This window comes from Homo sapiens, chromosome 6 (assembly GCF_000001405.40).
Source record: "Homo sapiens chromosome 6, GRCh38.p14 Primary Assembly".
NCBI classification, from domain to species: Eukaryota; Metazoa; Chordata; class Mammalia; order Primates; family Hominidae; genus Homo; species Homo sapiens.
The window spans coordinates 32,175,048-32,190,568 of record NC_000006.12 but is presented as its reverse complement, the minus strand read 5'-3'; the positions used below and the strand labels follow the sequence as shown (position 1 = coordinate 32,190,568).

Genomic DNA, 15,521 nt, shown 5'->3' with positions numbered 1-15,521 from the left:
GAGGGGAGTCATTAGAACAAGAAATATGAACTGAGCTGCCGGTGAACCCAGGCATTCCAGCGGCCTGAGTCCACATCGCTTAGATCCCTGATTCAGGACCCAGGTGACAGACGCCCCCAGCCGCCAACACAGCCCCACTCCTAGGCCGCGGAAGTCCAGCCAGGGGGCTTTCCCATATCTTTCAGATGGCCCGTCTCCTCCCCTCATCCCCTCTTCCCTCTCCCCTCCTCCACTAGGTCTCAGTTCCTCTGTTTCTGTGTCTCTCTCTCCGCCCCCAGCTCCTCCCTGTTCCTCCTCTCTTCTCCCCTCCTCTTCCTCTCCGGCTCCCCTCCCCCAGCCTCCCTCCCTCGCTCCCCCCCCTTCTCCCTCCTCCCTCCTCCCTCTCTCTCACACACACCCCCGCTTGGGCCTCCTCTCTCTCTCCGGCTCCATTTTCTCCGCCGCCGGGGGCCGGGGTCTCCTGTGGGGGGCCCAGCCGGTATCCCAGGTCTCCCTTCAGTGCCGGGGTGAACCCCCGGGGGAGCCGGGAGCCGGGGGCAGACGGGCGGGGGTTGGGGCGGAGGGAGCAGCGGCCCCAGCGAGTTTGGGGGGAGAAGTAACCAGGCGGGGGGAGGGGCGGAGCAGGGAGGGGGCCTCAGGGCCCCCCCCCAGCTATGGACGAACGGCTACTGGGGCCGCCCCCTCCAGGCGGGGGCCGGGGGGGCCTGGGATTGGTGAGTGGGGAGCCTGGGGGCCCTGGCGAGCCTCCCGGTGGCGGAGACCCCGGTGGGGGTAGCGGGGGGGTCCCGGGAGGCCGAGGGAAGCAAGACATCGGGGACATTCTGCAGCAGATAATGACCATCACCGACCAGAGCCTGGACGAGGCCCAGGCCAAGTGAGTGCCCCCACTCCGGGACCCCACACAGACCCAGCAAACCCCGTTCACATGTTCTGAATCTTCTGGGAGCCCCCCCCAACTCCAGGGCCCTCTCCAGGATCCAACAGCTCTCTTCTCTCCTTATTCCTGGGAGCCCATAGAAAAGTGATCCCTCTCAAACCTCCCTTCACCCCCAGGCCCTGAAACCTTCACAGAGGGAACCCCCGGTGGCCCGGCTCCCCACTCCTAACCTTTTGCCGACCCCTGCAGTCTCCTGGAACAGCCCCATCCCCGGGAGCCCCCTCTGGCTCCCAGACTAAGAAACTGTTCTTGGGCTACGTTATCTTCTCCCCTAACTCTCCACCCAGCCCCCTCATTCTCTCCAGATGTGGAGACCTCCACACCCTCTCCAGAGCCCCTAAAGCTCCTCTCCACTGCTCAGCCAGACACTAGGTGCATCAAAGCCTCCCACCTGCTCAGCCCCAGGACCCCTTCACACACCCTACACTGATCTCCCCAGTTAGCTCGGCACCCCCAGCCCCACTCTGCCACCTCAAACTCTGACTCTTCTCAACCCCAGCCTCTGTCTCTCTCCCTCTGAAACCTACCAAGTCACTTTCCTTTCTCCATCCACTCCCAGATTCCTCCTCCTACCTTTCTAGACCATCTCCCAAAGCCCGCAGCCTTTAACCTGCTGCCTGCATCTTCCCTGTGTCTCCCTGAAGCTGAGGAGCTTCCCCATGCTCTGGGAGCTGATCTTTTCCCAAGAACTCCTCATTCCACCCCCAACTCATTCCACCCCCAATCCGCTTCCTCCCTCCGCAGACTGACCCTCCTCCCTCCTTGTTCTCAGGCCCCCTGCTCTGTTTCTCTAGCTCCTCAACTTTTCTCTTTCCCCACTCCCACTCCTCCCAAGGAAACACGCCCTAAACTGCCACCGAATGAAGCCTGCTCTCTTTAGCGTCCTGTGTGAAATCAAGGAGAAAACTGGTATGTGGGCCCCCCCCGGATTGCTCAACTCTGGGAACAGAACCCTGTTCATTATAGGGCTAGAGTGTGACAACTTGGGGCCCTGAGGAAAGTAAGGAGTCAGGGGGACTGGGGAAGGAACCAAAGCCTGGGAACTTGGCTCTCCAGGAAGCACCAGGAGGACTGAGCACTGGGTATTGGGGTCTCTGGGTCCCTAAGTCCACTCGCCTGCATGCTAGGCCTCAGCATTCGGAGCTCCCAGGAGGAGGAGCCGGTGGACCCACAGCTGATGCGCTTGGACAACATGCTTCTGGCAGAGGGTGTGGCTGGGCCCGAGAAAGGGGGCGGCTCAGCAGCAGCAGCTGCAGCCGCTGCAGCCTCTGGTGGTGGTGTGTCCCCTGACAACTCCATCGAACACTCGGACTATCGCAGCAAACTTGCCCAGATCCGTCACATATACCACTCGGAGCTGGAGAAGTATGAGCAGGTAAGGAGAGGAGGCTTGGGTGGGTGGAGGGAAGGGCTCTTGCAGGGGAATCCCATGGTCAAAGGGCTCCTCCTCACCAGCCCACTGGCCCCCACTACAGGCATGTAATGAGTTCACGACCCATGTCATGAACCTGCTGAGGGAGCAGAGCCGCACCAGGCCCGTGGCCCCCAAAGAGATGGAACGCATGGTGAGCATCATCCATCGAAAGTTCAGCGCCATCCAGATGCAGCTGAAGCAGAGCACCTGCGAGGCTGTGATGATCCTGCGCTCCCGTTTCCTGGATGCCAGGTGGGCCCAGGGACCCCAGGCTGGCCCCCAGCACTGGGCTCCTTCCCATTCCTCTCCAAGACCCTGAGCTGCCATGCTGCACAACATGGTACTCCATGACAATGGTGACTCTGGGGTCATGCCATGTGACAGCCCTGCCAGGACATCAACATCCTCCTCACTGCTCTTCTCCCTCCTCTGTAGACGAAAGCGCCGTAACTTCAGCAAACAGGCCACTGAGGTCCTAAATGAGTATTTCTACTCCCACCTGAGTAACCCATATCCTAGTGAGGAGGCCAAGGAGGAGCTTGCCAAGAAGTGTGGCATCACCGTGTCTCAGGTATTATGGAGGTTGCGGGAGGAGTTGTCAGGCAAAGTGCACGCATCTCAGCTAGGTGCAGTGGTGTGTTCCTGTAATCCCAGCTACTAGGGAGGCTGAAGTGGGAGGATCACTTGAATTGGAGACCAGCCTGGGCAACAGCATAGTGAGACCAGGAAGCAAAAAAAAAAAAAATGCTGTCACTCACATCTTATTCAGTGAAGGACTTCAGAGGCAAATGTTTCTACCTGACCCTCCTTTCTGCCCCACAGGTCTCCAACTGGTTTGGCAACAAGAGGATTCGCTATAAGAAAAACATCGGAAAGTTCCAAGAGGAGGCAAACATCTATGCTGTCAAGACCGCCGTGTCAGTCACCCAGGGGGGCCACAGCCGCACCAGCTCCCCGACACCCCCTTCCTCTGCAGGTGGATCCCACTGTCACCCCGGCTGACTGTTTTGCACACTTCCTGCTTTTGTTCCCACTTCCTATCTAGGCAGGATCATAGCAGAGAGGGGGCCTTTTGGGGTGAGAGGGACCGAGCTGAGATAGGCTGGAGATGTCAGGGGACAGAGGCCATTCCAGTGATCTTAGTTCTGCCTTTCTTCCCACGGGTGGCCAAGGAACAGCCTGCTCTTTCTGTGTGTTGGAATGTTATTTTGTGGATAATTGGAGTATAGTAGCATGTCCCCACAAGAGTTGAGAGTTGTGGTTCATCCTCTACCATCACGGGCTCTATTACACTCTTCCCTCTCTGCCCCCACAAGGCTCTGGCGGCTCTTTCAATCTCTCAGGATCTGGAGACATGTTTCTGGGGATGCCTGGGCTCAACGGAGATTCCTATTCTGCTTCCCAGGTCAGATGCCCATCTCCTCTCGAATAGGGCTTTCCCCAACTCCATTTCCTCTACTTTAGGATACAAGACCTCTTTCCTCTGAGGCTTCTCTTCACTGTCATACCTTCCTCTGCTGCCTGCAGGTGGAATCACTCCGACACTCGATGGGGCCAGGGGGCTATGGGGATAACCTCGGGGGAGGCCAGATGTACAGCCCACGGGAAATGAGGGTGAGTGGATCCTGAAGCTCCTCTCTGTCCAGTTCTCACAGGACAGAGGGGCATTTTCCCTAGTAATGTTGTGCCCACACAGGGTTCCCAGGGCTTTCTCTGTTTTCTGTACTCTGTCTCTCCTTTCAGGCAAATGGCAGCTGGCAAGAGGCTGTGACCCCCTCTTCAGTGACATCCCCAACGGAGGGACCAGGGAGTGTTCACTCTGATACCTCCAACTGATCTTGCCCCTCAGGGTCACAGGGGTGGGGGCTCTCACAAGGCGACTTGAAGAGGACGCAGGCTTCCAGAGGACAAACCCCAATACAGGAGAAGCACAAGACAGAGAAGGGCCAATGGGGTCATCCCCTCCCTAACGAGACTCTCTGTGCTGGGGGTGCTAATTACATGGCAGGAAGAATGGGGCCTCTAAGGGGAGTGTGGGGTCTGTCTCTCCCTTTTTTCCATCTTTTTCCTCTCTCGCTTTCTTTCTTACACAGAAACATACACATACCGAGAAACCTATTTCTCAGACCCCTTTTTCTCCTCTGTCTTTCTCTCTCCCTCTCCCACACCTCACACACACATACTCCCACTTGCAACTATTCTGTTTCTCTCCTGGGCTCCCCCACTTTCCCTTCCCCACCCCACTTGTATGCTCTGGAATCTGTGGAGACGCCAGCCCTGCCCAATCAGAGATGCCAAAAATGGGGACATGACTTCTGGACAGAGGACATGGGCCACGCCCCCATGCATCCCCACCCCCGCCCCTCCGGACGGCTTACTTACCTCATACGCAGCTCATCTTAAACCAATAGAATCGCTCGGTGGACGAGAGTGTCTGACTCAGATATCTACCTCGGAGGGAGTTTCTGCTACTTTAGGGAATTATTGACTGGGCTTTGGGGTTGAACTTTTTTTTTTTTAAAGAAAGAAAAAGAAACCCTGGGATCCATCTGTTTTTTTTGTTGTTGTTGTTGTTTTTGTTGTTGTTGGTGGTGGTGGTGGTGGTGGTTCTTAATTTTTAATTTAGTTTGGGGAAGTAGCTTGTTTTTTTTTTTATAAATATGTTGATTTCTTGTCTTTTTTTTTTTTTATTTCTTACTTTCCCATATTAGGGGTGATAGCCAAAGGGGTTCTGGTAAGAGAAAGGGGGACAAACAGAACTGGTAAAGAGGCCCCCCTGGCTCCAGGCCTGTCCATCAGGAAGTAAATTTTACAGGGCACCAAGCTTTGCCCCCTAAAATCCCTTAGGTGTTCTTTGTTCATGCAGGCAGGTTTCTGCCGCATTTGATGTGGAGGCAGTGAAGGGCTTGCCCTGCTGGCCTCTCATCCCCCTTCTTCCCACAACCCTTGGGCAGGGCTGGACTCAGTAATTTTGAGGAAATTGAAGATGCCATCTTCCCCTGTGAGTGACATGTCTTTAATTTTTTAAAAAACTACTATTTGAAAATTGGAGGGGGAAGAATGGGAAGGGAGTTATTGCCAAATATGTTAAATATGGGTTGGGGTGCTTGTATATGTATCTTCCTCAATTTCCCCATAAATGAGGTATCTTTTTGTCACACCAAAATCAAGGGGTAGGGAGAGGGAGGAGGTTGCAAAAAGCCAGATGTGGGGGAAAAGTAACATCAACACTGTCCCATCCTCAGCCCTGAACTAGCTACCATCTGATCCCCTCAGACATTCTCAGGATTTTACAAGACTGTCAGAGTGGGGAACCCCTCCCATTAAAGATCCGGGCAGGACTGGGGACAGGTTGGAAGTGTGATGGGTGGGGGGGTGGGAGGCATGGGCCGGGGGCAGTTCTCTCCTCACTTGTAAACTTGTGTAGTTTCACAGAAAAAAAACAAAATGCAGTTTTAAATAAAGAAATTTCTTTTTTCCCTGGGTTTAGTTGAGAATTTTTTTCAAAAAACATGAGAAACCCCAGAAAAAAAATGATTTTCTTTCACGAAGTTCCAAACAGGTTTCTCTCCTGTTCCCCAGCCTTGCCTTCATGATGCAGGCCCAATTGCACCCTTGCAGACAACAGTCTGGCCTGAACCCTATTGATGCAACTTTGCGCAATCAAGATGGGGCTCCAGTGGGTCACCAGGCAGCCCTGATGGACTGATGGAATAAATAGGATCGGGGGCTCTGAGGGAATGAGACCCTAGAGGGTACACTCCCCATCCCCCAGGGAAGTGACTGTACCCAGAGGCTGGTAGTACCCAGGGGTGGGGTGATAATTATTTCTCTAGTACCTGAAGGACTCTTGTCCCAAAGGCATGAATTCCTAGCATTCCCTGTGACAAGACGACTGAAAGATGGGGGCTGGAGAGAGGGTGCAGGCCCCACCTAGGGCGGAGGCCACAGCAGGGAGAGGGGCAGACAGAGCCAGGACCCTGGAAGGAAGCAGGATGGCTGCCGGAACAGCAGTTGGAGCCTGGGTGCTGGTCCTCAGTCTGTGGGGTGAGCCACTCCCTCAACCCCACTGACCCTCCCTGCAGAAAGCACTTTAACCCCACACCCCAGTCGTCCTAGAACTTTTCCCAGAACCCGAGGAAGTGCCTTTCAAGGTCCCTCACCCACCCTGTCCAAATTTTGTTAGCCCTCATTCCCTTCCTACCCCTCTACCATGGTGCTATCTCCCAGGGGCAGTAGTAGGTGCTCAAAACATCACAGCCCGGATTGGCGAGCCACTGGTGCTGAAGTGTAAGGGGGCCCCCAAGAAACCACCCCAGCGGCTGGAATGGAAACTGGTAAGCGGGGCTCCTGTTGCAGCCTCCCAACTTCCAGGGAGACCAGCAATGATTTGGATCCCCGTCACTCTGCCTCACAGTCCTTTCCCAAAGGCCTTGCACTGTTTAGGCCCTGCTTCTCTGCTTCTAGAACACAGGCCGGACAGAAGCTTGGAAGGTCCTGTCTCCCCAGGGAGGAGGCCCCTGGGACAGTGTGGCTCGTGTCCTTCCCAACGGCTCCCTCTTCCTTCCGGCTGTCGGGATCCAGGATGAGGGGATTTTCCGGTGCCAGGCAATGAACAGGAATGGAAAGGAGACCAAGTCCAACTACCGAGTCCGTGTCTACCGTAAGAATTCCAGGGTCTTCTCCAAGGCCTCCCTCTTACCTAAGAAAAAGCCTTCAACCCCAGCCTTGGCCCATGAGGGCCTCTGACTTCCACTGGCCTCATTTCCACACACAGAGTTTGAGAACCTTCACAATTACAGCCTCTGACTGGATTTTTCCTCCTTCAGAGATTCCTGGGAAGCCAGAAATTGTAGATTCTGCCTCTGAACTCACGGCTGGTGTTCCCAATAAGGTAGTGGAAGAAAGCAGGAGAAGTAGAAAACGGCCCTGTGAACAGGAGGCGAGTGTGTGTGGGTGTGGGTGTGTGGCATCTCTCATTTTCAAAGGATTCTGAGGTCACCACTCTTTCCCCAGGTGGGGACATGTGTGTCAGAGGGAAGCTACCCTGCAGGGACTCTTAGCTGGCACTTGGATGGGAAGCCCCTGGTGCCTAATGAGAAGGGTGAGTCCTAAGGTGCCCCCCAAGCTGCCTTCTCCCTGATCTCACTCCCACACCCACCCTGGGATAATTTGTCTTATCCTCCCATCATAGGAGTATCTGTGAAGGAACAGACCAGGAGACACCCTGAGACAGGGCTCTTCACACTGCAGTCGGAGCTAATGGTGACCCCAGCCCGGGGAGGAGATCCCCGTCCCACCTTCTCCTGTAGCTTCAGCCCAGGCCTTCCCCGACACCGGGCCTTGCGCACAGCCCCCATCCAGCCCCGTGTCTGGGGTGAGCATAGGTGGGGAGGGCCCCAAGCTCACGTGAGCACGTTCTGGAAGTCTGACCCTTAGGGAAAGAGGGAGTCAAGCCCATGGCCACTGGGATCACTCACAAGTGTAACTCTCCACCTCAAAACCCTTCCAACTCCCAGAGCCTGTGCCTCTGGAGGAGGTCCAATTGGTGGTGGAGCCAGAAGGTGGAGCAGTAGCTCCTGGTGGAACCGTAACCCTGACCTGTGAAGTCCCTGCCCAGCCCTCTCCTCAAATCCACTGGATGAAGGATGTGAGTGACCTGGAGAGAGGGGCTGGGAGGTAGGGTGAACCATAACTAGCAACAGGGAGGGCAGAGGGCTAACGAGGGAAAGGCAGGCTAGGAGCTGAGGAGGAAGAGAGGGTATCTGAAGATATGGAGACAAAAAGACAAGGGTTTTGAAATAGTCTCCTCTCCCCTTCCCCCACCAGGGTGTGCCCTTGCCCCTTCCCCCCAGCCCTGTGCTGATCCTCCCTGAGATAGGGCCTCAGGACCAGGGAACCTACAGCTGTGTGGCCACCCATTCCAGCCACGGGCCCCAGGAAAGCCGTGCTGTCAGCATCAGCATCATCGGTGAGACCTCTCCCCAAGCCCTACAGACCCTGGGACTAGGGTGCAGGACAGCACAGGCTCTAATTTCCTGCCCCATTCTGGCCTTATCCCTAACAGCCACCCCACCTCTCCCTCCATGCACCCACACCCAAGCCTCCCCTGCCCCACCCAAATTCTGCCAAGAGAGCAGCCAAGCCTCTCCCTTCTTCCCTCTGAGCTAAAAAAAGGAACAGACGGCTGGGCGCGGTGGCTCACGCCTGTAATCCCAACACTTTGGGAGGCTGAGGCGGGCAGATCACCTGAGGTAGGGAGTTCGAGACCAGCCTGACCAACATGGAGAAACCCCATTTCTACTAAAAATACAAAATTAGCCAGGCATGGTGGCACATGCCTGTAATCCCAGCTACCTGGGAGGCCAGCTACTTGAGAGGCTGAGGCAGGAGAATTGCTTGAACCCAGGAGGCATAGATTGCGATGAGCCAAGATCGCACCATTGCATGCCAGCCTGGGCAACAAAAGTGAAACTCCATCTCAAAAAAAAAAAGAAAGGGAAAGACTCCACTGGGGCTCCCACTAAATAACCCTCTCTCAACCCGAAGTCTTCCTTTCTGACTGGATCCAACTTTGTCTTCCAGAACCAGGCGAGGAGGGGCCAACTGCAGGTGAGGGGTTTGATAAAGTCAGGGAAGCAGAAGATAGCCCCCAACACATGTGACTGGGGGGATGGTCAACAAGAAAGGAATGGTGAGTGGTGGTGGCTGTGCTCTCAATTTTCCCTGTCTCCGTACAGGCTCTGTGGGAGGATCAGGGCTGGGAACTCTAGCCCTGGCCCTGGGGATCCTGGGAGGCCTGGGGACAGCCGCCCTGCTCATTGGGGTCATCTTGTGGCAAAGGCGGCAACGCCGAGGAGAGGAGAGGTGAGTGGAGAAAGCCAGACCCCTCAGACCTAGGGCTTCCAGGCAGCAAGCGAAGAGGGGTCGGGGGGTGGAACGACAACGTGCCGCATTCCCCCCAATCTTTCTCCTCAGGAAGGCCCCAGAAAACCAGGAGGAAGAGGAGGAGCGTGCAGAACTGAATCAGTCGGAGGAACCTGAGGCAGGCGAGAGTAGTACTGGAGGGCCTTGAGGGGCCCACAGACAGATCCCATCCATCAGCTCCCTTTTCTTTTTCCCTTGAACTGTTCTGGCCTCAGACCAACTCTCTCCTGTATAATCTCTCTCCTGTATAACCCCACCTTGCCAAGCTTTCTTCTACAACCAGAGCCCCCCACAATGATGATTAAACACCTGACACATCTTGCTCTTGTGTGTCTGTGTGTGTGTATGAGACACAACCTCACCCCTATACCCTTGAGGGCCCTGAAGGAAAGGGACTCACCCCCATACTTCACCATACTATACCAAACATCTACTCAAGTTGGGGAGAAGATGCTTCTGTCGGGGGTGGGGGCGAACTTGGGAAGAGATCCCATCAATATATTTCACCTTTTTTATTGAATTTGTATTAAAGGAGGTAGTGAGGGGGCGGAAGCACTTAAGAGTCAGAATCCATATTAGACTCTGGGGAGTGAAAAATTAAATTAAATCAGTAAGATGGGGAGTGGGGGAAGAGTCAGAGGGAACTTTGCCCACCTTTGAAGATCAAATCAAGAAATCAGGGAAAGCAAAGACTTAGGAGAGGAGAAAGACATTCTCTCAATCCATCCTCCTTCCCCAGGGCAGAGAATTAAACAACGTTACTGAGTGAGCCTCTGAGCAGAAGGCTCTCCCATCTATGCACAGACTTCACTCCTCCTCCCCAGGCCTTCCTGGACAATGTCCAGGGCTGGCCTTAGCCAACAGAAATAGAGGGGTCAAGGGGGTCCAGGAGTACGGAAGGGTCAGCAGGGACCCTCAATACTGATTCTTCTCTGGCTGGAGGTGGGCAGGAAGCAGACATAGCTCAAATACTGAGCAGCCAAAAAAAGAAGAAGATGGCGAGAAACAGGAAGAGGGAATCCTGCCAGCTGGAGGCTGGGTGACCCTGTCCCAGATCCACACCTGTGGGAGAGAGGAAAGCTGTGGAAGCATATGCTCCTAGGCTGGGAGGGGGCCTGAGGGGATTCACAGGGCTCCCTGATGGGAGCTGAGTGTGACTCTTACCTGTACCCCGGCGGAAAGGCTCATGGGCATTGAAGACGGTGGTGAAAAAGCCAAAGGGAAAAGCACCAACACCAAATGAGAAGTGGAAGCCCCCGGTATCACCAAATGGCTGGAATCCCTAGGGAGGCAGAAAAAGTCAGACAGGAAGCCGGCAAATCTGTCAAGGAAGGGACACAACTGGACAAGAAGACTCACCCCTCTGCTCTCCGGAGCTGGTCTCTGGCCCTGGGGGCGGGGTGGAGTTTTTAATCTGAGGAAGTGGAGAGAGAAAGTTAACAGGGATTTTTCTCCTCCCATCTTCCACACCGTTTTCCAAGGGCAGAAGCCTTCAATCTTCCCTAAGCAACACCTCCAGTCTCTCACCTGGGATCCTGGGGCTTCTGGCTCCCTCGCCCATAAAGCGGGACAACCTTCTCTCTGCTGATCCCAGCTTTACATACTGGACACTCTTGCCGTTCTGGCCGTGTCTCCAGCCACTGGGGAGAAAAAAGGTGGTTTCCAGTATACAAGAGGGTCTTACAGCTCCTCAGACCTCCCCATTTCCCTCTTCATCTCCTGAGTACGCACCTGATGAAGACATGGCCAACTGGATGGGGGAGAAAAAAAAAAAAAGGTCAAACTAGCTACAGAAAAGAGAGACACAGACCCTAGACTTCGCAGAATCCCATCTAACCCCTCTTCCCAAGCAACCTGCTGTTGCTTTTCAGATTTTCTGCAACCTCTACCATGCCAGCCAACTTAGTTAGCCTTCCTGCTTGTCTGATCTTCCAACACCTAAAGCTCTGTCCATCCTCAACACACTCAACCCTCTCCTTTCTCCTCTCCCCAACAAACACATACAAATTTTCGTGCCCTCTCTTTTCTGCCTTTCAAGTTAATTTCTAATTTCCTTCAGCCACCTCTTTCTGGGTCTCCTCTTTTCAACCCCAACCCCATCACTCCAAACCAAACCCCTTTACTAGCACATTCCCCCATTACTCACTTTCAAGCTCAATAATGTCCCTATCTTTATGACCCTTTAACCTTTCAAGTCTGCCTCTCCACAGTGCCCTTATACCAGCCCCCTCCCAGATCTCATCTGAATGTGATCCATATTTCCTGGTTCTCCCCGACTCAACTGATGCGTGCCTCCCTTAACCTTTGTGTCTCACTTGTTTCCACCTGCACAGCTAAGACCCCTCACTTCTCTGGGGTAAGGTGGCTCGGGTCTCACATTGTCCTGCCACTCCCCGCCCCACCTTCTCTTCTCAGCACATCACGTGCCTCAGCTCCTGGTTCCTAAGACCTTTCTTTCCACAGATCTCGACCGTTATACTCCCACCCACACATACCAGCAAAGTCTTATGTCTCCTGTCGGGCTTCACCTATGGGAACGTGCCCTCCGATTATCTGTATGACTGTATGATTATTCGCTCCTAGCCTCTCCAGTATATAAGCGAGACCCACCACCTCCCGCCCCCCTCCTCGATTCTCACCAGTACAGGTGGCCACACACACTGACCACAGCTTCCCGAGCAGTCTCCAAACATATATTACATTCGAAGGTCGCGCCCGCCCCGCCCCGCTCGCGATTTGGCCCTTCGGGGCCCCCGTCCTCCTCCTCCGCTGCTGCCATGGCCGGTTTTGTTTCGCCCCACGTACCCTTCAGTCCCCCCAAATACACATACACACGCCCCAACAAACCAGAAACCACCTCCTGCCCACGATCGTTGGGCAGGCTTCAAGGTTTCCTAATCACTATTGGTCTGAATGCCTGCCAGTCACAAAGAATTCAAAAGAAAGGATTGGCCCAAAGGGTAGGGGCGGGAAAAGGTTAGTGCAGTCCTGCCTTCGCACAATGGCTATTGGCTGATACGGTCTAAGTCAATGTGCAATGCCAAGGGATTGGTAATAACTCGCTACACGCTGTCGCCTGGCCAAGGAGGGCTTTATTCGTCTGAGTAGTTGTCAGTCATAACCAAAGCCATAAGCAATTTGCTCGGGACTACCTATAGACCTCGCCCACTATAAGCCCCTTTCTTTCCTTCGCTTCCTCTTTTAGAGAATGTCCGGATTGCTATTGGACTTTGGAGCGTATGGCTCCAAATCAACTCATTGGCTAAAACTTGACGGAAAATGGTGGTTAGGTAAAACGCGCCTGCGCAGCACGCGGCGGGACGGGGGTGGGCCAATCCTGTGAGGGTTTAACCTTCTCTTTTTCCACCTCTTCACCCCTATCTTGTCGCCATGGTGACTGCTCTACAATTGGCGAGGCTTGCACTTCAAAGTCCTAGGCTCGCTTCATCCGGGTCCTTCAGCTGTGGACTTTCTGCTGATTGGGCCTTTTCCTTTTCCCCTGATTGGCCGACATCGGGAAAGACGGCGAAGAGCTAGGAAAAGAGGGAAAACACTAGGGTCGCAGGGTTCAAAATGGCTCCAACCTCCTTTGGTGACGTAGAGAGCAGAACTTGGGTCTGCCCCTCCCTTTTAGTTAAGGGAGCAGAACTGGGATTAGCCCGACGTTTGGATAGTGGGAACATCGATCTGCGGCGCTGGTGTTAACCCAACTCATTCGGCTGGACGACTCAGCCCTCCCCATATTAGGTGATTTACAGAGCAAAACTGAACTAAAGGCCCACCCCTTTCTTAATGTTGTACACAGAGTAGAACAGGATTGACTTCAACTCCGTTTTAAACCTTCAGAGCAGGAAAGCTCTGGGCTCAACCCCTTTGTGAGTGGTGCAAAAGGGACAAAGCCCGCCCCTTTTAAGGAGACCCGCGGAGGCTAGACCCGCCCTTTCCTCTTTATAATTTGCCCATCAGAAATAGGGTCTTCTTCCCAGGTTGGACCCCGGGGAGTTTGGGCTTTTCCTACAATCACTGACCCTCACTGTGACTAAAGGAGCAGAATTAGGTAACAGTCCTCCCACTACCAATCCTCTTCCCGAGGGCATGTAAACTAATGCAGGGTAAAGGTGTGGCTAGAGGGGGGACCTTGATAAAAGATCCCATGTGACTCAAGAGTAAGGAAAGATGAGAAGTTAGCAGTTGCGTAAAGAAGGACTGGGGCAGATGAGGATTCAGGAAGCTTGAGGTTTAGGAAGGAAGATATTGAGAGGGAAAGGTGGAAATGAAGGAGAGTGAAGTGATGGAATGATCCTAGTAAAGGGATAATGGGAGTGGAGGAAGAGAAGAGGGGGTGGAAAACTAGATACATGGCTACCAAATTAAGGAGGCACGCGCATTCCAGAGGAATCGGCATTCTTCCTCACTTTTTATTTTTCTAGAAAGCACCCCTGAAGCCAAATTTCCATTGGAAGAAAAGATGTACCCATATTGTATGTTGTGAGAAGGGGTTGTCTCAGCTTGGGCAAGTAAGGAGACTGATACGAAGGAAGTAGGAAAGAAAAGGTACAGAGGTAAAAGAGCATGGAAAAGGAAAGGGTCAGGGATAAGGCCAAAGAGATCTCTTCTCTTTAAAGGCCAGAGAAGGCAGGTGGAGGGGGGAGCTGGACTGCTGGGAGATAGTGAGGGACAAAGGGCAAAGGAAACCAGACCAGAGGACTGGAGAGTGAGATGGAGTGAGATGGAGTCCTGGAGAGAAAAAGAAGAGAGGTGAACTTAATGCTTGTCATATGGTAGGTAGATGCTTGATAAATGTTTAGAATTGAATGGGTACGGGAAAAGGGGTCCTTAAGAATAGTTGGGGGGAATAAGCAGCAGATAACCGGAGTTGAGAAAAAAAGAGACCAAGTAAAAGTGGCAGTTAAAAGAGAGCTGATGGAGAATAAAGGAAGGAATGTGCGGAAGGAGGAATACAGCACCAGGGGATCCAGAGCTGAAAGGGAGTTAGAGAAAAAAAAGATGCAGCTGGAGCCAGAGATGGGGGCAAAGACCGAGGGAGAGCCCTGGGGCGGGGCTCGCAAGAGGACACTGGTAGATGTGGGGAGGAGATGCCAGAGTTTCTGGGAGACGATTGGCAAAACAGGCTGCCCATCACCGCCCTCCACTTCCTGGCCGGCCCCGGAAACCAGCAGGCGTTGGGGAGGGGTGGCGGGGGAATAGCGGCGGCAGCAGCCCCAGCCCTCAGAGAGACAGCAGAAAGGGAGGGAGGGAGGGTGCTGGGGGGACAGCCCCCCACCATTCCTACCGCTATGGGCCCAACCTCCCACTCCCACCTCCCCTCCATCGGCCGGGGCTAGGACACCCCCAAATCCCGTCGCCCCCTTGGCACCGACACCCCGACAGAGACAGAGACACAGCCATCCGCCACCACCGCTGCCGCAGCCTGGCTGGGGAGGGGGCCAGCCCCCCAGGCCCCCTACCCCTCTGAGGTGTGGGCGGGAAAGGGATGGGAGGAGGAGGGAAGAGGGTGCTGAAAGCGACTAGGATGAGGGGAAGGGGAGAGATTGGGTCTGGGAGGGCCGACTGGGGGAGAGGGTTGCTGGGGAAAGGAGAGGGGCCGACTGGGAAGAGGGTTGCTGGGGATAGGAGAGGGGACCTGAGAGGGAGGAAGGATGGAAGAGACCTGGGAGGGAGGAGAAATGGAAACCCTTGTGAATTTGGGACTGGGAGCGTGCACAGGGAATCCTGGAGAGGGAATTCCCTACACCTTCCCCAATTCCTTTTCTTGCCCTTTGACCCCACATGACTCTTGAAGGGTCATGAGGGGAGAAGGCCAGCAGAATTTGCCTCTTAGGAATACCCTTAGGTGCCTCTGTTTCCATCTAGGCACAGGACCTCTTGTTTCTCAGTGGCCTTCCACACTGCTAGACCCTTACTGACACACAAATGCCTTATGGGAGCCATGTTTTCTACATTGAGTCTGTGTGCCTTTGACATGTTTAATGGCTTGTGTGCAACTAGGTTGTCCCAATGCTATCCATAGGCTGTGTAGAAATGGTGTGTTATTTTCTATCAGAATTGCCCATTCTTCATTCTTGTGTCCATGTCTCACATCCAGTTTTGACATGTTTTAAGTACCGCATGTGTGTGAGTTTTCATATATTGCACCTGTTCTATAATTTCATGTTACTTGCACATTTTATGTTTTGGCATGTTTATTTCAGCATGTGAAGGTTATATACCTTATTTTGCTTT

The 15,521-nt window shown here is 53.9% G+C and overlaps 4 protein-coding genes and 1 non-coding gene across 21 annotated transcripts in view, besides 5 other annotated features; 3 read left to right on the top strand and 2 right to left on the bottom strand.

Moving 5' to 3' along the window:
* Nucleotides 12–580: an enhancer, noted in NCBI's record as "H3K27ac-H3K4me1 hESC enhancer chr6:32157766-32158334 (GRCh37/hg19 assembly coordinates)". NCBI's record gives its function as "activates a minimal SCP1, AML or CMV promoter by ChIP-STARR-seq in naive H9 embryonic stem cells {active_cell/tissue: H9 hESC(naive)}" and the evidence as "EXISTENCE:reporter gene assay evidence [ECO:0000049][PMID:30033119]".
* On the top strand, nt 367–5,836 carry PBX2 (PBX homeobox 2). 2 transcript variants are annotated; one of them, NM_002586.5, is made up of 9 exons: nt 367–874; nt 1,773–1,846; nt 2,065–2,312; nt 2,413–2,603; nt 2,787–2,922; nt 3,174–3,327; nt 3,668–3,756; nt 3,879–3,965; nt 4,095–5,836. In NM_002586.5, exons 1-9 carry the CDS (start codon nt 654–656, stop codon nt 4,185–4,187), a joined length of 1,293 nt encoding a protein of 430 aa, NP_002577.2. In that variant the 5' UTR covers nt 367–653; the 3' UTR covers nt 4,188–5,836. The 2 variants fall into 2 exon arrangements, with proteins under 2 accessions (NP_002577.2, XP_047274795.1); XM_047418839.1 differs by lacking the exon at nt 1,773–1,846.
* Nucleotides 1,733–2,289: an enhancer, noted in NCBI's record as "H3K4me1 hESC enhancer chr6:32156057-32156613 (GRCh37/hg19 assembly coordinates)". NCBI's record gives its function as "activates a minimal SCP1, AML or CMV promoter by ChIP-STARR-seq in naive H9 embryonic stem cells {active_cell/tissue: H9 hESC(naive)}" and the evidence as "EXISTENCE:reporter gene assay evidence [ECO:0000049][PMID:30033119]".
* Nucleotides 6,316–9,600, top strand: AGER (advanced glycosylation end-product specific receptor). 13 transcript variants are annotated; one of them, NM_001206932.2, is made up of 11 exons: nt 6,316–6,398; nt 6,582–6,688; nt 6,861–7,014; nt 7,181–7,245; nt 7,368–7,455; nt 7,546–7,728; nt 7,871–8,001; nt 8,181–8,322; nt 8,937–8,963; nt 9,092–9,218; nt 9,330–9,600. In NM_001206932.2, exons 1-11 carry the CDS (start codon nt 6,347–6,349, stop codon nt 9,424–9,426), a joined length of 1,173 nt encoding a protein of 390 aa, NP_001193861.1. In that variant the 5' UTR covers nt 6,316–6,346; the 3' UTR covers nt 9,427–9,600. The 13 variants fall into 13 exon arrangements, 12 of the variants coding, with proteins under 12 accessions (NP_001193861.1, NP_001127.1, NP_001193858.1 ...); NM_001136.5 differs by having other exon boundaries at nt 6,819–7,014; NM_001206929.2 differs by having other exon boundaries at nt 6,819–7,014; nt 7,181–7,293.
* Nucleotides 7,205–7,722: an enhancer, noted in NCBI's record as "H3K27ac-H3K4me1 hESC enhancer chr6:32150624-32151141 (GRCh37/hg19 assembly coordinates)". NCBI's record gives its function as "activates a minimal SCP1, AML or CMV promoter by ChIP-STARR-seq in naive H9 embryonic stem cells {active_cell/tissue: H9 hESC(naive)}" and the evidence as "EXISTENCE:reporter gene assay evidence [ECO:0000049][PMID:30033119]".
* Nucleotides 7,723–8,241: an enhancer, noted in NCBI's record as "H3K27ac-H3K4me1 hESC enhancer chr6:32150105-32150623 (GRCh37/hg19 assembly coordinates)". NCBI's record gives its function as "activates a minimal SCP1, AML or CMV promoter by ChIP-STARR-seq in naive H9 embryonic stem cells {active_cell/tissue: H9 hESC(naive)}" and the evidence as "EXISTENCE:reporter gene assay evidence [ECO:0000049][PMID:30033119]".
* RNF5 (ring finger protein 5) lies at nt 9,776–12,164 on the bottom strand. The gene is made up of 6 exons (NM_006913.4): nt 11,918–12,164; nt 11,010–11,028; nt 10,806–10,918; nt 10,638–10,692; nt 10,443–10,560; nt 9,776–10,340 (listed from the first exon to the last, which is right to left on the bottom strand). The coding sequence occupies exons 1-6, from the start codon at nt 12,055–12,057 to the stop codon at nt 10,243–10,245; spliced, it is 543 nt and encodes a 180-aa protein (NP_008844.1). The 5' UTR covers nt 12,058–12,164; the 3' UTR covers nt 9,776–10,242.
* Nucleotides 10,693–10,753, bottom strand: MIR6833 (microRNA 6833). Its single transcript, NR_106891.1, has one exon. It is a non-coding gene; the product is annotated as a microRNA 6833 (primary transcript).
* Nucleotides 11,876–12,404: an enhancer, noted in NCBI's record as "H3K27ac hESC enhancer chr6:32145942-32146470 (GRCh37/hg19 assembly coordinates)". NCBI's record gives its function as "activates a minimal SCP1, AML or CMV promoter by ChIP-STARR-seq in primed H9 embryonic stem cells {active_cell/tissue: H9 hESC(primed)}" and the evidence as "EXISTENCE:reporter gene assay evidence [ECO:0000049][PMID:30033119]".
* The window catches only part of AGPAT1 (1-acylglycerol-3-phosphate O-acyltransferase 1), a 9,897-nt gene continuing 6,836 nt past the window's right edge, over nt 12,461–15,521 (top strand). The window contains exon 1 of one of the 4 annotated variants that reach the window (NM_032741.5): nt 12,461–12,568. Coding sequence is in view for 1 of the 4 variants with exons in the window: in NM_001371437.1 (NP_001358366.1) it covers nt 14,057–14,059 (3 nt within the window). In the remaining 3 variants the exon portion in view is untranslated. Of the gene's footprint in view, nt 12,569–13,222; nt 13,336–13,448; nt 14,060–14,484; nt 14,756–15,521 lie in introns of those variants that run through there. The other 3 variants (NM_001371438.1, NM_001371437.1, NM_006411.4) reach the window with 3 other exon arrangements.

Coding starts and splice junctions, on each gene's coding strand:
- PBX2 (NM_002586.5), top strand. CDS start 654: ATGGACGAACGGCTACTGGGGCCGCCCCCTCCAGGCGGGGGCCGGGGG. Junction 2,604..2,786: donor TCCCGTTTCCTGGATGCCAG/GTGGGCCCAGGG, acceptor CCTCCTCTGTAG/ACGAAAGCGCCGTAACTTCA. Junction 3,757..3,878: donor ATTCCTATTCTGCTTCCCAG/GTCAGATGCCCA, acceptor TGCTGCCTGCAG/GTGGAATCACTCCGACACTC.
- AGER (NM_001206929.2), top strand. CDS start 6,347: ATGGCTGCCGGAACAGCAGTTGGAGCCTGGGTGCTGGTCCTCAGTCTG. Junction 6,689..6,818: donor AGCGGCTGGAATGGAAACTG/GTAAGCGGGGCT, acceptor CTCTGCTTCTAG/AACACAGGCCGGACAGAAGC. Junction 9,219..9,329: donor CAACGCCGAGGAGAGGAGAG/GTGAGTGGAGAA, acceptor CTTTCTCCTCAG/GAAGGCCCCAGAAAACCAGG.
- RNF5 (NM_006913.4), bottom strand. CDS start 12,057: ATGGCAGCAGCGGAGGAGGAGGACGGGGGCCCCGAAGGGCCAAATCGC. Junction 10,693..10,805: donor CAGAAGCCCCAGGATCCCAG/GTGAGAGACTGG, acceptor CCACTTCCTCAG/ATTAAAAACTCCACCCCGCC. Junction 10,341..10,442: donor GCCTTTCCGCCGGGGTACAG/GTAAGAGTCACA, acceptor TCTCTCCCACAG/GTGTGGATCTGGGACAGGGT.